This window comes from Homo sapiens, chromosome 11, assembly GCF_000001405.40.
Source record: "Homo sapiens chromosome 11, GRCh38.p14 Primary Assembly".
Taxonomy (NCBI): Eukaryota; Metazoa; Chordata; class Mammalia; order Primates; family Hominidae; genus Homo; species Homo sapiens.
In genome coordinates this window covers 130843538-130862809 of record NC_000011.10, presented here as the reverse complement: position 1 = coordinate 130862809, position 19272 = coordinate 130843538, and the positions used below count along the sequence as shown (strand labels likewise).

The following is a 19272-nucleotide window of genomic DNA, read 5'->3' as shown; positions in this document are numbered from 1 at the left end:
AGATTGATATGAGCCTTGTCCCAAAACAAAGTAATCCTTTCAGGGAAGTGTATTTCAAGTTGAGCTCACGTTCCCAAGATGCTGAGATTCTTATGTAGCTGACACCGGAGCTGAGGCTGAGCCCCAGCCAGGGATATCCAACGATTGCCAGTAACACCACGGAACTGAGTGAAGATTCAGGGGCTGAGTGTGTTCCTGAGTGCTTCAAACCGGGGGACCTGGAAACCAGAGGACTCCTGGGGAAAGGCTGTCAACTCCAGCCTGCTCTTCCTAAATGGCCTTGTTAGTAGTGACTTCAGCCCTGGCGGTGAGGCATGTGGGTCAGAATAACATTCCCTTTCTTTTCCCTTCACCTCTTTTTTCTCCACGGTTCCTTTTCATAACTTCTTTATTTGCTGCCTAGAGGAGCTTTCTGGACATTTTGTCTCCAGGGAGCGTGACATGTCACCTGTTTCTCACCTCATATGCCTCTGATCTTCTACACCAAGGTAGCTATAAAGGCTTGCTTTCTAGGCTGGGTTTCCCTGCACAGGCCCACTGAACCACTCAAACCTCAGAGGTGGAAGTGCCCAGCGGGCCTCATGGTCAGCTGGGGATAACGGAGTCATTTTCGCAGCCCAACTTCTGAAATTCCACAAGAGGGCGCCCAAGGTCTCCCAAGTCCGGCCACGCCCGGTGGCCTTGAGGCCGGAAGGTGGCGCTGTTGCTTTAGCCATCAAGAAAGGCAAGGCTGGGGACGCCGCATCCCCGGGTGCGGAGGGCGATGCCTAGGGGCGATGCTGTGCCTGTGGCGGCCAAACAGTGCCACCCACTCCGGGAAACAAAGCCAAGCGCCGGACGCTAGGTATGGGAGAGAAGAGCCACCCTGACCCAAGGGAGGGCTCTAGGTGAGGAGCCAGCGTCCTCCGGCTCCGGTTCCCGCTGCACTGCTGCTTTGCCAGGAGGCCTTGAAGAAAGTCATTCATTCTTTCTCCCCCACAGCTTCCTAGGTCTTCCACGTGTTCAACGGAAATTCACAAATTCTCTAGTAGCAGGTAAGCTTCGGATTCAGGAATGAAAAAGACAAAGCCCTGTCCTGGGTGAATTCATTATCCATGGACAGGGGAGGCAGGCGCATCATCGGAAAGTCACCGTGTGAGGAGGGACGTGGAGGCACAGAGGTGCACACGGAAGCCCCCAGAAGAAGGACTTCCCCCAGCCTGGGGAAGCTGGGCGGGCAGGGGTGGGCCAGCGAAGCCTTCCCGGTGATTCTAGGCAGTCTTAAAAGGTGTTAGGAGTCAACTTGGGAAAGATTAGGAAAAGGCAGTGTAGGCCAAGGGACGGCCGGAGCAGAGGCCGCGCGGCAGTGCTGGCATGTGGGTGGGCGGTGGTAAGGAAGGCGGTGGATGAGGATGCAGGGAGCAGATGGGCTGCGTTGCAGGCTGGGCCCCTATGGCCCTCAATAGGTTTTGTGGTCAACATGCTTTGTGGAGTTACAACAAGCAATGGTGGCCCTAACACATATATTCATTTATAGGTCCATAAATCTGCATTCATAGAGATAAATGAGTAATCCCCAGGGTGAAGGAGAACTGGAAGAGACACTGGAGCCAGGTCCACCCTTGGCCAGGTTTTACCTTGACTTGGCGTCATCACTAGGCACTGGTTTTTTTCTCTCTCCTTCTTCCCTGACCAAGAAATACAACAAATTCGTTATGATATCGACTTGTCATGATCCGAAATTGAAGAGCAACCATATATTTATTTGGCAAGATAAATACACACATTCTTTACATAAGATTAGTAGCCACCAGTTTCTAAAAGCATATATTGTCATTTATTTGCCAAAACAAAGGTACATGCCCACATGTTATAGATGGGAAAGATGAGGCCCAGAGCTCGGGTGCATGGCTGAGGTCACCCAATTAGTGGATGGTGGTGCTGGCACTTCTGTCTGGGCTGCTTCACCTTGTCACACACTCTCCACTCCATGCAGGCCGCACCTCTCTAGCAGGGTTTATCACCCAGCTTAGTATCACTAGTACCCAGCACACTCACTCTGTGAAAGACACTGCACTGTGATCTGTAGGGTCTAAAGCTAGGGGTCCATGTCACATACAGAATGGCACTTTTCACAGAAAGAGAGGACAGATGCTGCATGGCTGGTCTCAGTGTTCATTCCGAACCCCCACACTCCAGCGTGAGTACCAAATGGTCATGAGCATTGACGGAGCACACAGTGTACCCTGAGTTCTAAAGACGCAGGACTGTGTCTGAGCTGCCATAACAGAATACCATATCAGGTAGCTGACAAAAAAAAACAAAACAAAACACATTTCTCACAGTCCAGAGAGCAAGGTTCAGTGTCAAATGATGGCCTGTTTCCTCATAGACCCTATCTTCTCACTGTAACTTCACATGTCAGAAGGGACAAACAAGCTCCCTTAGGCCCCTCTTATGAGGGCACTCATCCCATGCGTGTGGCCTCTACCCTCAAGACCAAGTCACCTTCCGAAGGCTCCGCCTCCTGGTATCATCACCTTGGTGTTGAGGATTTTAATCTGTCAATTTTGGATGGAGACAAATGTTCAGACCAAGGATAGGATGGGTTCTCAAATGCACTACTTTATATGATTAGCAACCAGAGCACATGGCTACAGCAGTAAGATGCTTGTTGGCATTTGTGACTATGTTGCAGGAAGGGCCATCCAAGAGCGTCTATGACTTGGTGCACCCTTAGTTCAAATGGCATCTTTCCCAGATGCTTGGTCTCCAAACAGAAAGCAGCCTGCAGTTTCATGTTTTAAAGTTTCTGCTACAGAGATCCTTTGCCAGTGTATTGAAGTTTGTAGAGAGAATGTTTTTAATCAACAAAATGTACTGAAGTAGTGTGCAAAGTTCCAGGAAGGAATAAAGCCCACCAGTGAGGCAGAGAGAAATGGAAGTCTAGCAAAGACAAATGAAAGATCCCATGCTCAACTTCACTGGAAAGAAGCTAAATCCAGCAAGAGGACTGTGAAAAAACACAATTCCTGAGGAGAGAACAAATGACAAGCAAATGGTCCACAGAATAACATATAAATTAGCCTCAGACTTCCTGAGAGAAGCTAAAGAGACCATGCCTCCAAAGCTCACAATCGCTGGACAACAGTATGAAATCCCAAAAAGGGGAAATAACTTGCTCTAATAGCAATAGCTAACATCAGAGAGGGCTCACAACATGTCAAGGCCTGGTTTCCGTGCTCTATGTGGATTAACTCACTTAATTCTCCCAAAGATTGCATGAAGTATGAGGATCCCCACCCCCATGTACAGATGGAGGAGTTGAAGCTTAGAGAGAGAAGTAATTCACCCCACTTATCCAGTTAGTAAAGGTCAGAGCTGGGATTCAAACCCAGGCAGCCTAGCTCCCAATGGATCCTTGCAACCACTTTATTTATTGCCAGCTCCAAGTACAGCAGCAAATCAACACTGGAGCCAAGATTAAAACCCTGATAATAACCCAGCTCCTAGTGTCTGTTCTTTCCACCATTTCACTCTTTCCCCATATAGGCCCAGAAGACTCTCCCCTCAGAGCAATGGCCCTTGCTGGTCACTCTGTGAATGCTCCTCTCTTAGATTTGCACAGAGCCTGCCCCTTCTATTGCTTTTCTGACCACCCCCAACAAAATAGCAACAGCCTCCCACTCTCTGTAACCCTTGCATGTCTACCCCCTACTCTGCTTCATTCATTGATAACCGTATCACCACCTACTATACTATTACTATATTTACTCTCTTTTTTTTGGTTGAGTGTCTTCTCCTACTAAAATGCACGCTTCACAAAGAGAAACATCTTTGCCTTCTTCCACGCTAATATCTCCAGTGCCTGGCACATATAAACATTTGGTAAACATTTGATGAATAACTAAATGAATAAACAAATGGGCAAATCATAAATAAATAAATTGCATGCGCAAAGCAAAGAACTCAGGCACTCTGTGCCATGCGTCGGAAGTCCTACCTGATAGCTTGTTACTGAGATGCTACCGAAACATCCAAATCCAGTTCAAATTCTACCTCCTTCAGAAAACTTCCCAAATCTTTCCACTAACTGAGTTACTGGCTGAGAATTGAGTCACTCCAGGAATTTCTATTAAGCTGTAGGAACTTCTGAAAGGGAGGACGTAATATATCAATTACCAGCAATTAACACTTTTGAATATATTAAACAATACATGTACAGCATTTTATAGATAACAGATCTGAACTAAAATACAGCTGGCGTGGAGTGGCACAAAAAACATGCCAGTCATAGTGCTAGGTACTTTGCATGCTGTACTAATTGCCAAATATTCCCAGCTTTGTGCCTTCCTGGCACCTGTGAGAATTGTACTTCCCAGACTCTTCCTGGTTGAATGATACCATGTGACCAGTTCTAGCCAATCAGACATGAGCAAACCTACTACCCACTTAAAAGTGCTGAGACATCCTTCAGAGCTCTCTTTTCCTTTTGGCTCAACCAACCAGTAACCTTCAAAAAAGTGGTTACGGGGCTGCTTACTCAGCCTTAGTCCCTGAAGACCCCCATGTCTCCAGTCTTATCCCAGCTGAACTGCACAGCAATCTTTTGAGGTAATCTGTGCTGTCATTGTTCTACACATAAAGGAGAGGGCTCTGAGATAAAAAATGATTTGCCCAAGTCACACAGGTAGTAAGCAAGAGCCAGGAGTGGAGGACAGGTCTGATGCTAGAACCTGTAACTTTTACCTACTTGTACTGTCTCTCCCACTCTTACAGAATAAAAATAAGGAATACGACAATGGGAATATCAGCTGTTTCCTGGAAAACAGAAGCTTTGTTTGGGCACCACAGCTTTGGGCTGTTGGGGGTTAAAAAGAGTCAATAGGACACTGGGATCATGGGAAATAATTATAAAAGCTGGTGGTGTAAGGGAGGAAGTGCCACAGACAACATTCTCCCTGTTTGTATTTTTGCTTGTTGGAGAGTTATAATCCTTGGTCTTTGGTAGACAAAAACTACGTGATTATCTCAATAGATGCAGAAAAGGCCTTCAACACAATTCAACAGCCCTTCATGCTAAAAACTCTCAATAAACTAGGTATTCATGGAACGTATCTCAAAATAATAAGAGCCCTTTATGACAAACCCACAACCAATATCATATTGAATGGGCAAAAACTGGAAGCATTCCCTTTGAAAACTGGCACAAGACAGGGATGCCATCTCTCACCACTCCTATTCAACATAGTGTTGGAAGTTCTGGCCAGGGCAATCAGGCAAGAGAAAGAAATAAAGCATATTCAATTAGGAAAAGAGGAAGTCAAATTGTCCCTGTTTGCAGATGACATGAATTTATATTTAGAAAACCCCATCGTCTCAGCCCAAAATCCCCTTAAGCTGATAAGCAACTTCAGCAAAGTCTCAGGATACAAAATAAATGTGCAAAAATCACAAGCATTCTTATACACCAATAACAGACAGAGCGCCAAATCATGAGTGAACTCCCATTCGCAATTGCTACGAAGAGAATAAAATACCTAGGAATCCAACTTACAAGGGATGTGAAGGACCTCTTCAAGGAGAACTACAAACCACTGCTCAATGAAATAAAAGAGGACACAAGTGGAAGAACATTCCATGCTCATGGATAGGAAGAATCAACATCGTGAAAATGGCCATACTGCCCAAGGTAGTTTATAGATTACCCCATCAAGCTAACAATGAGTTAATTCACAGAATTGGAAAAAACTACTTTAAAGTTCATATGGAACCAAAAAAGAGCCCACATTGTCAAGACAATCCAAAGCAAAAATAACAAACCTGGAGGCATCGTGCTACCTGACTTCAAACTATACTACAAGGCTACAGTAACCAAAACAGCATGGTACTGGTACCAAAACAGAGATGTAGACCAATGGAACAGAACAGAGGCCTAAGAAATAACACCACACATCTACAACCATCTGATCTTTGACAAACCTAACAAAAACAAGAAATGGGGAAAGGATTCCCTATTTAATAAATGGTGCTGGGAAAACTGGCTAGCCATATGTAAAAAGCTGAAACTGGATCCTTTCCTTACACCTTATACAAAATTAATTCAAGATGGATTAAAGACTTAAATGTAAGACCTAAAACCATAAAAACCCTAGAAGAAAACCTAGGCAATACCATTTAGGACATAGGCATGGGCAAGGACTTCATGACTAAAACACCAAAAGCAACGGCAACAAAAGCCAAAATAGACAAATGGGTTCTAACTAAACTAAAGAGCTTCTGCACAGCAAAAGAAACTACCATCAGAGTGAACAGCCAACCTACAGAATGAGAGAAAATTTCTGCAATCTGCCCATCTGACAAAGGGCTAATATCCAGAATCTACAAAGAACATAAACAAATTTACAAGAAAAAAACCAAACAGCCCCATCAAAAAGTGGGCAAAAGATATGAACAGATACTTCTCAAAAGAAGACATTTATGCATCCAACAGAGACATGAAAAAAATGCTCATCATCACTGGTCATCAGAGAAATGCAAATCAAAACCACAATGATACCATCTCACACCACTCAGAATGGCGATCATTAAAAAGTCAGGAAACAACAGGTGCTGGAGAGGATGTGGAGAAATAGGAACATTTTTACACTATTGGTGGGAGTGTAAACTGGTTCAACCATTGTGGAAGACAGTGTGGTGATTCCTCAAGGATCTAGAACTAGAAATACCATTTGACCCAGCAATCCCATTACTGGGTATATATCCAAAGGATTATAAATCATGCTAGTATAAAGACATATGCACATGTATGTTTATTGCGGCACTATTCACAATAGCAAAGACTTGGAACCAACCCAAATGTCCATTAATGATAGACTGGATTAAGAAAATGTGGCACATATACACCATGGAATACTATGCAGCCACGAAAAAGGATGAGTTTATGTCCTTTGTAGGGACATGGATGAAGCTGGAAACCATCATTCTGAGCAAACTATCACAAGGACAGAAAACCAAACACCACATGTTCTCACTCATAGGTGGGAACTGAACAATGAGAATACTTGGGCACAGGGCAGGGAACATCACACACTGGGGCCTGTCAGGGGCTGGGGGAGGGATAGCATTAGGAGAAACACCTAATGTAAATGACGAGTTAATGGGTGCAGCAAACCAGTATGGCACATGTATACATATGTAACAAACCTGCACATTGTACACATGTACCCTAGAACTTAAAGCATTATTTTTTTAAAAAAGTATGTAAAAAAAGAATTATTGGTCTTTGGTTTGATTCCTTCTCACTGCATACACATCAATCAGGAAGTCAACACATATAGAGTGAGCTCTTCCTTTGGGTGGGCACTGTGCTGAGGGCATCTTGATGGACCCAGCACTCACAGCCCCACTTTCAAGGACCTGCAGGCTGTTCAGCTGACCCCCACTTCTGTTTTAAGCTTTTAAACTTCTGTGTGGTTCCATTCCTTGTCCACCCAAAGTTCTACTTGTTCATGTGGTTGTTAGGTATAGAGATGGGAAAATGCATATGAATATACAATACAGAGATGTGTTACATATGTGAACTTGGAAGACTGGGACTAGGATGCCGTCTGTCTCTAGTGTCATATTCCATTTTTAAAGGAGGGAAGGTATAAATGTATTTCTACCAACATGGAGATTCATTAGGAGAAAGGGGCAGAGAATCAGATTCTGAAAAGGAGCCACTATAAATACTGTAACCAAACAGAATCCGCCAGACTAGAGGGAATTGCACCTCCTCACTGCACAAGATTAGCTAATGCGGGTGAAGCTATTGGAGTGCTTCTGAAGAAATCAAAATTTTGTTATTATGATTATACTGTTAGATATTTCTTTCTTGAGATTCTAAATGAATTTGTTTAATGCCTTATTGGTCCATTCCTGCATCTCTGCTTCCAGAAGCCAAGAACAAGTTCTCTGGATCACATAGGCTCCTCTGCTGCTTCCTCAGAAACAGAGATGGTACTTGGTGCCGAAGAAAGAGACAGAGACTGGGAAGGAGAAGGAAGTCAGCAGAAAGAAGAAAGACGCACAGGAAAGAGAGAAGGGTAGCTAAAAGAAAGAGGTAAGAACAGATCTCAGTTCTTCATTTCTGCTTGAGGACTCATTGAAGCATTGCATTGGTTTAGGAGAGCAAATGAGGTGTGACGTGTTATAGAAAGTGGATCTTAAAGCTCTTACTATAAATAACCCATAATAAGTAAAACTTTTGCTAGGCAAGAAAAAAGTATCTAAAGAGAAAAGAGACATTGACTACGTAGAACAGATCATTATTGTAGAAATGGGAAGGGCCAAACCATTCTCATCCTTAGCATACATTTCCCCCTCTCTAAGGTGATTGACCATGAGTTTGTTTGGGAACTGTTTGGTTTTAGCGGTGAAAGTCTTGGATCCCCAGCAACTCCCTCAGGCCCAAGCAAACCAGGATGGTAGGTCACCCTACCCCTGCCTGAAATGTCCTCCTCCCATGCCACCCCTGTCCCCTCACCTCTTAGTGAAGGTGTCCAGCTGCGAGTTTAAACTCAGTCTCCTCCACAGAACGTTCCATGATCCTCAAGCAGAACTTGTTCTTGTCTCTGTGTTCCACGGGGCCTTTTACATAACTCAACAATAGCGCTTACTGATTGTACACTGTTTCCCACTAAAATGTCTTTCTCTCTGATACAGTATAAACTCTTTAAAAGTAATAATCTCATATTTGAATCTTTGATACCCAAATAAACATTTGCTGATTATATGAATGAATAAACAAAGGAGCAAAGGAAGTTTGAGAAAACCATAAATTATTCACCAGTAAATATTAAACATTACTTGAGATATTCCCACCCGCACTGAACTACCTGGACGTGATAACAAATTCTGAAGGTCTGGATCACAGGCAGACAAACAGGAATGCTTGGAAGGCAGAAGCCTCCCACACAAAATTTTTCACCTGCTGCTAATATGCTACCCATAGTTTCCACCATTAAAAATCTATTATTTTGGGTTAAGCCAAATTTCTCCCTTGCATAGGACCTGCCAAGACTATTGTTTAAAATCTTATTTTGCTATTCACCCAGGTGACTGGCTTAACATTCATAGCAATCACCCCAGCATTGAGGTCTTGCTCAAATAGCCCCAGGTACCTGGCAACATAGAAACAGCTATATTTCCAGATGATAAATACCTCAATTACAAGGATTAAAATGTTCTCTGGGGTATTCTATTTTTAAGTGGTTTGGTCCCAAAAGACCCCGAGCAAAGACTTTGCTATTATTTTTTTGCTTACAATTGGGCTAGGAGGAGGACTGGGTCTCATCTGCTCCTGGGAGCTAAGTGGCTTCCCTAAGCTTGGACTTAAAGTGTTCTGTGGGAAGTGTGTTTCTTTCCAGAAGTGGGTGGAAGGTGGAGGGGTAGGAACCATGTTGGGCACATTTATGAAGAGAGAGTGTGACAGACCTCTGTAAGTGCTGGCAATGAAAAGGTCTGGAAAGCAATGTAGTCTGAGAGGGAACATTACATGATCAGAGGGAAAGAGGTTTCTTTGTGGGCAAAAGGAGGTAAGACATAAGAAGTCAGAGAGAATGGTCTTCAGAATAAATATCCAGAACCTCACTTGAAAACACCAGGAAGATAACACGGTGGCCCCGAGCAGAGAGGAGAGGCAACACAAGATTACATTTGCAGACTTAGTCATGAAATTGTATAATTTGAGGCCTAATTTGTTTTGAATGTCCCTGCCTTTTTGGTCTCTTTAGTTTATAATCTAAAACCATCTTGTGAAATAGTTTGAACCTGGATGTAAGTTGAACATGAAACACAGCTAAGTGTGAAAGAGAGTAAGTGTGCCACAAATCTGAATGAGAAATAGCTTAAGACCATTCAATAATTCCCTAACTGGAACACTAAGTGAAGGGCGTGGAGCAAACTTTCACAGCTCCATTCACCTGGCAGCCTGGGGTACAGAGGGGCTAGGGAGGGTATGGGGCAGAGCTCTGCCTGCTGTGGTGAGAACTCGCCGTGGGGACTGCGCAGGCCCAGCGCTGGACCAGGCGGACGGATTCCTGCTCTGTGTGTGCTTACAGTCTGTCTGACCTAAAATAGGAGCCACTGGAGACTAGTTTCTCTCGGTTGTAAACCTTACACATGACAACTGGCCAATGACATGAGGCTGACAGGTATAATATTAGATTATATGTGAAATTTTACAGTAAATAGAGGATGAGCTCTGGAGCCATGCAGACCTGGACTTGAATCTCAGTTCTGTCATTCACCCCTCTGTGATGCAGGGAGTGGATGTCAACCACTGAACCTTATAGAGCCTCAATTACCTATGATTAAAATGAAGATGACTATCCCTCTAACATCAGGCTTTGATAGGCACATAAAGGAATGATGAGAGTGAAGTGTCCAGTGCAGAACTCAGCTCATGGTAGGTAATCACATTAATTCCTTTTCCCTTCTTAGGAAAGAGGTGAGATTCACAAAGACACTGAGGCGTTTACTGATTTCTACACCCACTCAGGCCACTGTCCTCTCATCTGGATGACCTCAATAGCCTCGTCTGGCCACACTGACTCTGACTGGAATCAGAGACTAGCCGTTGACTACTGGCTCTAGTCAATTAGCTACTCGGTGACCAGAGTGCATGCACTACATCATAAATCTCATTTCAAATCTCTGTTTGGAATCCTTCAATAGTTTCACACTTCCAGCTCTTTAGCAGGCCTTCAGGAGACCTTCCTGGGCTGGCCCTTGCATCCTGCTCCCCTTCGTGCTCACAGACTTCAAACGCACCCTTCCTGCCCTCCAGCACACTGAGGAAGCACTCAGATCTATTCCTACAGTTCCCCAACGGGCTCTGCCTTTGCACAGTTTGCCTCTGTGCCTGAACAGCTTCCCATATCTCTCTTCCATAAGCCATTTGTTTATTTGGATAGCTCCACTCCATCTTTGGGATTCAGTTTCCATGTCACTTCCAGTTTTCTCCAGCCAATAGCCCTGCTGTTTGCTCTTTCTGGCACTGTATGCATACACCCATCATAACAAGTAGTACATGACTGCTTGGCCTTCTGCAAAGTCTACTGTGAGCCTCTGAAAGCAGAGCTTGTGTCTTGTTTACTGCTCTCCTCCCAGCACAGAGAGTGGCACAGAGGAGGGACCCAATAAATACAATTTGTAAACTTCTAGTTTAAAGTAATGATGATAGACTCAAAGAAAAATTGCAAAAACCTTTCCTAGCTTTCTCTTACATTGACATCTTATAAAACCTTAGTAAAATTATTAAAACCAGGAAATTATCATTTATACAATACTCTTAGCTAATCTACAGACCTTATTTGAATTTCACCAATTTTCCCACCAGTGGCCTTTTTCTTATCCACATTGCATTTAGTCAGTATGTCTTCTTAATCTCCTCCAATCTGTGAGCTAGGTCCTCAGTCTTTCTTCTCTTTAATGACATTGATATACTTTTATTTTATAGAATGTTCCACCATCTGGGTGTGTGTCTGGTGTTTTCTCAAGGTTCGATGGAGGTTGTGCCTTTTTAGCAATACTCACAGTGGTGTTATGTCCTTCTCAGTGCATAGTATCCAGAGGCACATGATGCCACTGTACCTTACACCGGTCATTTGCTTATGGGGAAGGCTGTCAAGTTTCCCCTCTGTAAAGTTAACTGTTTTTCTTTTTGCAATTAATAAGCATCATGTGAGGAGATACTTTAAGAGCGATTAATATATTTTAATACATCAAAGGACAGAATCTGAAAGAAAGAGGTAAGTATGAGTTCCGTGCCTGCATTTAAAAAGCATACAGAAAGGATAAAATAGAGAAAGTGAGACACCAAATGAGATAGCAGGATGGATTTAGGCTACCAGCATCACTGCACTTTCAGGAAACATTCAGAGAACTACAGTTTCTGGGTCCTGGGGTTGAGAGTCCTCTTCCTTTTGCTCAGGAGACCACCCTGGGATAGCATGTTCAGATCTGGGCACCATCCTTTAAGTTGAGTACAGTCACATTACGTCAAAAGTGCATTTACGTTACCCAAATTCTACCATGCAACCTCAGCAAAAAAGAAAGACAACCATCTAAATTGTGTTTACAAGAGAGTAATCCTAGTTATATGTTTGTGCATCCAACCCTTCTTTATCCTACTGATCTCATATTTTATATTTACATTTTAAGAACAACCAAACAGGTTTTCAAGAGTGAGGTGGCTTAACACAATTTCCACTTATGCTCAATGTTCTCCACGGAGAACAATTCCTGTGAAAAGTGTGACTCCAATATGTAACAAACTAGAGCCTGTCCAGAGAGGTGAGCAAACAGATTTTGGTCTGCTGCGGAGGATTAAAGGAATGGCAGGTGCTCACATTTAGAAAGGCAACACTCACGGAAGTGCAGAGTAGTCATCTTACTCAGCTCAGGCTGACTAACAAAATGCCATAGCAGACTGGCTTTAACAACAGACATTTATTTTCTCACGATTCTGAAGGTTGGGAAGTCCAAGATCCAGGTGCCAGCCAATTTAGTTCTGTTGAGGACCCTCTTCCTAACTTACAGATGTCCTCCTTCTCACTGTGTCCTCACATGGTGGAGAGAGAAGGGCACATGAGAGAGAAAGGGAATTAAGAATAAGGATGCAAATTCTGCCAGATCAGGTCCCTACCCTTATAGTCTAATTTAACCTTAATTACCTGCATAAAGGCCCTATCTCCAAACATAGCCACATTGGAAGTTAGGAGTTCAACACATGAATTTGTGGGGGACACAAACATTGAATCCATAGCTGTAGTTATCCTCAAATGTTTCTTAGTCCATTACTTGTATAACAGGATGTTCAAGTGGGACTTCTCTTTATTGTCTCACTGTCTGCTAAAGCCCTAACACTAACCACAATAGGTGCCAACTACCTTCAAATTTAGAGAAAGGGGCAAGACCAATAATTTGTTCTGCTTGCGTTGGTCTATCACTCATCTCCAGATGATATAAGAAAAGACTAAGTATCCGTTAAGGAGGAGCAACAAATGGTAAGCTTTCTTCAGGAAGAAAGTTGTAGCCTGGGCAACAAAGCGAGACCCCATCTCTCCAAAAAAAAAAAAAAAAAAAAAAATCAGCCAGGTGTGGTGGTACATGCCTTTGGTCCCAGCTACTCAGGACCTGAGATGGGAAGGCTGAGATGGGAAGACTGCTTGAGTCTAGAAGATTGAGGCTGCAGTGAGCCATGATTGCACCATTGCACTCCAGCCTGGGCAACAGAGCAAAATTCTGCCTAAAAAAAAAAGTAAAGAAAGTTGTATGCTGAAATGCCCTCCTAATCCTCCACTACTCAGGCCAACTGAGATGAGTTTCAAAGAACCTCTAACAGGCTTGCCATATATTCCTTGGAATTGGGGCAGATTCTGGAACTGGTATCTGAGTCACACTTACTTGGAAGAAAATCTGAAGGAGGGAGTTTCTGGCTGTGGGCAGGGAGTAGAAGCTGTGCTGGCAGACTGAAGGGAGCTATGCAAACGGCAGCGCAAAAACACATGTTTCTCAAGGTCCACATGTGAATCCTGAGGAAGAGACCAGCATGAGGCAGTTTGAAAACTCTATCCAAGAGGACCACTGGAATTAGGGAGGGAGTGCAGGGTGGATGACCCCAGCAGAAGGAGACTGCAGTGAACCACCAGCCATGGGCTGGGCGAATGTCATCAACTTCTAGCCAAAGGAGGCATCCCTGCACCAGAAAACCGCAGTTGAGAGTCCCCAGAGGAGGAGCTTAGAAGAACCCAGAGATGTACCCATGAAAGAAAAGAGGAGCACTTGAGTGCTCAGCTCAGAGAGCCCTTAAACGCCGGATCACACCTGGGCCTACCAAGTAAGGAAGACCTTTCCCATCCACTGCCCTTCTCCTTCTACCCCTGGCCAGCCCTGAAGGAGCCAACAGCAACATGAAGAGTGGGAGGTAGATCAGCCAGGAGAACAAAGAAAAGAAGCAAGTCTCTGCAAGTTTCCCAGCCCCAGCCAGGGCAAAGGTAGTGATTGACAGCTTGGAGTTTAATAAAATATTGAACTGGGCTTTTAATATATGCAAAAGACCAGAATATTCCATGGGATCTGCAGGAAGGAAGAAGGAATTGAAAAAGAGTTATAACACAAAGTGGAGGAAAAATAGTTTCCTTCTATTAACACTGTACCAAATCCAGTCATTCAGAAACAAAACAGAAAGTTCCCTACGCCGCCAACTTTCTGGGTTGCTTACCTGTAAAGCCACACAGAGCTCTGCAGTTAGAAGGGTTCCACCCTTGGCTTAATGCTCTGTTACCATCTTGAAATTCTTAGTAATTTTTAACATGGGCCCCACATTCTCATTTTGCACTGGGCCCTGCAAATTACATAGCCAGTCCTAGTAACATATGTAACAGGGACTTAGCCTTGTTCTATGTGACCCCAGTTGGTAGAATGGAACCAATTAGTGGGAGGTTAAAAAAACAAACAAACAAAAAAAAAAAACAGATTTTAGCTCAATGCAGTAGTCCCCACTTATTCACAGGGAATATGTTCCAAGACACCCAGTGGATGCCTGAAACCTAGGATAGTACCAACCCCAACTATGTTTTTTTCCTATACATACATATCTATGATAAAGTTTGGGGTGCAACAGCAAAACTATATGAATTTTTTTCTTCTTCACAATTTCACAGGTAAAAAAATTCATTCTCACTGTAGATCTCAGCAACTTTAATATTGCAATTTTTATTCTTTCGTTATTAAGTCAAGAGCTCTCACCTTTTCACTTAACGAAAGCACTTCCCAGCTTCTCCTAGGCATGTTCAAATGGCCAGCATCACTACTTTTGTTCTTTGGAGCCACTGTTCAGTAAAATAAGGGTCACTTGAACACAAGCACTGCAAAACAAATGACAGTCAATCTAATAACCAAGACGGCTCCTATGTGACTCATGGGTGAGTAGCGCAGACAGCATGGACATGCCAGACAACGGGATGATTCACGTCCTGGGTGAGATGGAGTAGGACTGCATGAGATTTTTATCATGCCATTCAGAAGGGCATGCAATTTAAAACTTACGTGTATTTCTGAGATTTGCCATTTACTATTTCTGGACTGCGGTTAAGCACAGGTAACTAAAACTGTAGAAAGTGAAACTGCAGATAAGGGAGACTACTGTATCGGGACAAGTTTGTTAATACTCATAGCTACCCAGATTGGGATAGGCAGTGTAAAGGAGTCAGAGCTTCTGTTCATCAGAATCCATACGGCAGAGGTGGGTCAGCCTTTTGGCACTCTAGGGCCTCCAAAATCCTTTTCAGCCCTGGGATTATCTGATTCTTTGATTAATGAATGTCTTTCAAGATGCCTACCTTACCAACTTAACCAGGAAATGAATTCACTAGTACTGTGACCAGGTAAGAGTATTTCCAAGGGCAGCCTATGAGCCCTCAATGGATGGAGTTTCACTAATTCCCTCTGTTTCTGTCTAAGTTGTGAGGTATTTTCCTTTAATGAGAACATTATTGCCATTACTCACTGTATTTTTTTTGTTCGTTGTTAGTTGGATCTTATTATGGCTGGCACATCATGGCTCCTTTATTCCAAGAAGAAGTCTTTTAAAACATCCCAGAAAGTATCTAGGGCTTAAAGCCACTTTCATTAATCATTATTTTGACAATGAAGCATAAACAAACTGACAAATATTGTTTAAATTTAACATTAAAATTCAATGTGTATGTCTCAGTTATTGTTGTCATTCTTATTTTCAGTCAGGGAGATGGTTCCAGGAGAAGAAAAGAAAGTCAGTTGCTTTCTGAGATCAGGTGGGAAGTTTATCCTGTCAACTCCACCTTTAGAGTGCTAGTCTCTGGAGCCACAAGGACTGAAACTCTGCTTCAGAGACCCACCACTGATGACAACCATCAGGCTCAGGAACTGAAAAGAAATGGGTATGCTTGATCATGCTTAGTAAACACGTTTCACTACTGACTCACTTCTCCTGTGTGTTGGAAAACGTTGAGCTTCTTTCATACCATATTTTGGCCTTGACCTTTGTAGCATTTAGCCTCCCTACAATGGGGTCTATGTGTTTCCACACCCTCAGAGCAGGCCCCTAATTATAGCCATCCATTAAACTGTCAGAAAGAAATCCTCAACTCAATCATGTCTTTATCAAACTCTGGCTGTCAGTGGGGTCAAGTGAGGCGTCAAGTCTGACCTGCCCGGAGCCCCTGTCATGTGCTCATCTCACACTCACTGGGGTCTTTGTGACCAGGCAGGCTAGACAGCCACCTGGCCACCCCCAGCCCAGTCCCCTCTCCCACTGCATTGCCCAGACAGGGCGGAGCCAAGGGAGGCTCTCAAGCTCAGATAATGGGGCTGACATAATGTAAGGCCTTCTCCTTGACCTTATCTTGGGGTATTTTGTGCAAAGAAGTTGTATGGGGTTGGCAAAGTCCTAAATTGGAAATGGGGACTCTACTAAACAGGGAGGAATCTAGTTTCAGGGGAAAAAAATTATTCGGTTTGGACCTGCTTTTGGAGATTATGCAATAGAATCAGAGGATTTTATCACTACAAAGGAAATTGTACCTGTCTAACCCTTTATTTTACATTTCAGTGCAAATGTGGCCGAGGGACTTGGGTTTTACATTTATTGCCGAGTCTGGTTTTCTTGAGTTTCAGGTGAGTAATATTTTAAAGGGAGCTCCATAAGAATGAGGTTAATCCAAGGTTGTCATATGTGGCTTTATATTATTCTCTAGTTGGTTCACACAAATTTGTTTTGTCTCCCATACAAGATCATAAAATTCTTCAAGGATAAAGGTTATTTCTCCTCTGTAGCCCATAGTGTTAAGAAAGAACTTAAAGTATTTGTTGAGAGTTAGCAATGCTCTTTACTCATTTGTTCTGTATTTGAGTGTGTGTGTGTATGTATGTGTGTGTGTGTGTGTTCCTGTGTGTCTCCCCAGATAACTTATAAACACTACCTGCAAATTAAAATAGAACCACCGTGTTTTATTGCTAGTCCTATCACCGCATTTAAAAGACGAGGACATTGAGATCCAGGGAAGTTAAGTTACTTGCACAAGAATATTCAACAAGAATATGATTTAAACTCGGATCCACTTACAGCCCATTCAGTATTCTCCCCACAGTACCAAGTCCCCTTCTTGTTCTAACACATTGGTAGATAAATGTTGACGGGTACAAAAAAAGAAGACATCAGAAATAGGTGGGGTGAATCAGCCCTTAACTATTAACATTACTATTGTTATTAGCAATACCTTAAATATTACCCTGCCCATACAGCTGTTAAACTATTAAGATAAACACTCTTAACAGTTTCATGTATACCCCCACATAAACAATAACTGAAAGCAAGTTTGTGCCATATATATATGTGCATTTATATATAAATATATATGCATTTTCAGTTACACACACACACATATATGCATTTTCAATTACACAAGAGGAATTTTGCCATATATGTTGCTCTGTACTTTACTCTTTTCAATTGATGATATTCCTTAGAGATCTTTCTGTATCAGCACATGCAGATCTAATTCACACTTTTCAAAGGGCATTTATGGTTGGATATACCATAACTTATTTAACCACTCCCCTACTCATGGGCACTTCGGTTGTTTCCAGATTTATGCTAAGAAATGTGTACCTTTAACAACCTCTCCTGGAGGGGTTTTAAGTCACTAGCTTGACATGAGATCGGTATTTTGAAATCACCAATAGTCGTATGCCTTTATTTTTACAGATGATAAAATTGAAGCCCAGAGAAGCTTGGGAGCCTCAACTATTAATGGAAAAACCATAACTAGAACTGAGTTTTCCTGAGACATTTTTTACTATTCATTCCCCTGCTCTTGGGCCACTCCAGGGCACTGAGCACACTTGCTTTGGCTATTTGGAGAAGAGGCCAATAGACACAACTGGCTTCATCTTCAGGGACACCCAATATCTGGCAGCCCTCAGCCCCAGCGGAGTCTTTATTGAAAGAACTGATTCATAGACCAGGCGCGGTGGCTCACGCCTATAATCCCAACACTTTGGGAAGCTGAGGTGGGCGGATCTCAGTCAGGAGATCGAGACCATCCTGGCTAACACGGTGAAACCCCATCTCTACTAAAAATACAAAAATAAAAAAAAAAAATAGCTGGGTGTGGTGGCAGGCGCCTGTAGTCCCAGCACTTTGGGAGGCCGAGGTGGGCAGATCACAAGGTCAGGAGTTCAAGACCAGCCTGACCAACATGGTGAAACCCCATCTCTACTAAAAAAATACAAAAATTAGCTGGGTGTGGTGGTGCGCACCTGTAATCCCAGCCACTCAGAAGGCTGAGGCAGGAGAATTGCTTGAACCTAGGAGGGGAAGGTTGCAGTGAGCCGAGATTGCGCCACTGCACTCCAGCCTGGTTGACAGAGCAAGACTCTGTCTCAAGAAAAAAAAAAAGAAAAAGAAAAAAAAAGAAAGAAAGAACTGATTTATGAAAAGATTCTTATCATGATTTTCATTTTACTAGTCCAAAGATCACTGAGTTAAACTGCCTATTTTAGTAGATGAACAAAAGTGCCTTGAATAAAGACGTAATTCAATAAAAACTTAATCCTGTCATAAAATTGAATATTCTCTGGTTCCCCAATGAACCCCAAAACTTATTAGATTTCTTCTGCAGATGATGTGAGATGGGTTGTTTTACTTAACTAACCCCGTTATGCCTTTAAAAATACATTATTATTTAAATGTTTACATTTCTTTTATCCTGCAAATGTACAAAACAGCAAGCCTAGTGTTTCTGGGAAAGCAAGAGCTGGTAGAGGGAGTGATCACATGGGGAATTTTCAGTTGCTCATTCAGGAATTAGGAACAAAAAGCAGATTGGGGTAGTCCACATGCAGCTCACGGATCATCCCGCGCAGTCAGTTCCTGCACGTAGCTGCATAAGGAATTTCTCACAGAGCAAGGAGGAGGGAGCAGCCAGGACAAGAGCTTTCTAGGGGTGAGGATCTGAAAGCTGTGCTGACTTCTCAGGTTAGGTGCTTTTTGGTTGTTTGTTTTTAAAAAACAAATAGAATTTATTTGCTAAACAGCAAAAAACAAAGTTTTCAGTTTGGTTTCAACCGTAAAAATAATAACAATGTGTTTGTTAATTTACTTGTCAACCTGACTGAGCTAAGGGATGCCCAGATAGCTGGTGAAACATTATTTCTAAATATGTCTGTGAGGGTGTCTCTGGAAGAGATTAGCATTTGAGTCAA

General features: G+C 42.9%; 1 long non-coding RNA gene across 1 annotated transcript, besides 2 other annotated features; it reads left to right on the top strand.

The window, feature by feature from the left end:
- Positions 338-838: an enhancer, noted in NCBI's record as "H3K4me1 hESC enhancer chr11:130731867-130732367 (GRCh37/hg19 assembly coordinates)". NCBI's record gives its function as "activates a minimal SCP1, AML or CMV promoter by ChIP-STARR-seq in naive H9 embryonic stem cells {active_cell/tissue: H9 hESC(naive)}" and the evidence as "EXISTENCE:reporter gene assay evidence [ECO:0000049][PMID:30033119]".
- Positions 700-18617, top strand: LINC02551 (long intergenic non-protein coding RNA 2551). The gene is made up of 6 exons (NR_125383.1): positions 700-844; positions 982-1034; positions 7918-8083; positions 15768-15947; positions 16619-16683; positions 17774-18617. It is a non-coding gene; the product is annotated as a long intergenic non-protein coding RNA 2551 (long non-coding RNA).
- Positions 839-1339: an enhancer, noted in NCBI's record as "H3K4me1 hESC enhancer chr11:130731366-130731866 (GRCh37/hg19 assembly coordinates)". NCBI's record gives its function as "activates a minimal SCP1, AML or CMV promoter by ChIP-STARR-seq in naive H9 embryonic stem cells {active_cell/tissue: H9 hESC(naive)}" and the evidence as "EXISTENCE:reporter gene assay evidence [ECO:0000049][PMID:30033119]".
- Positions 18618-19272: the final 655 nt, after the last annotated feature.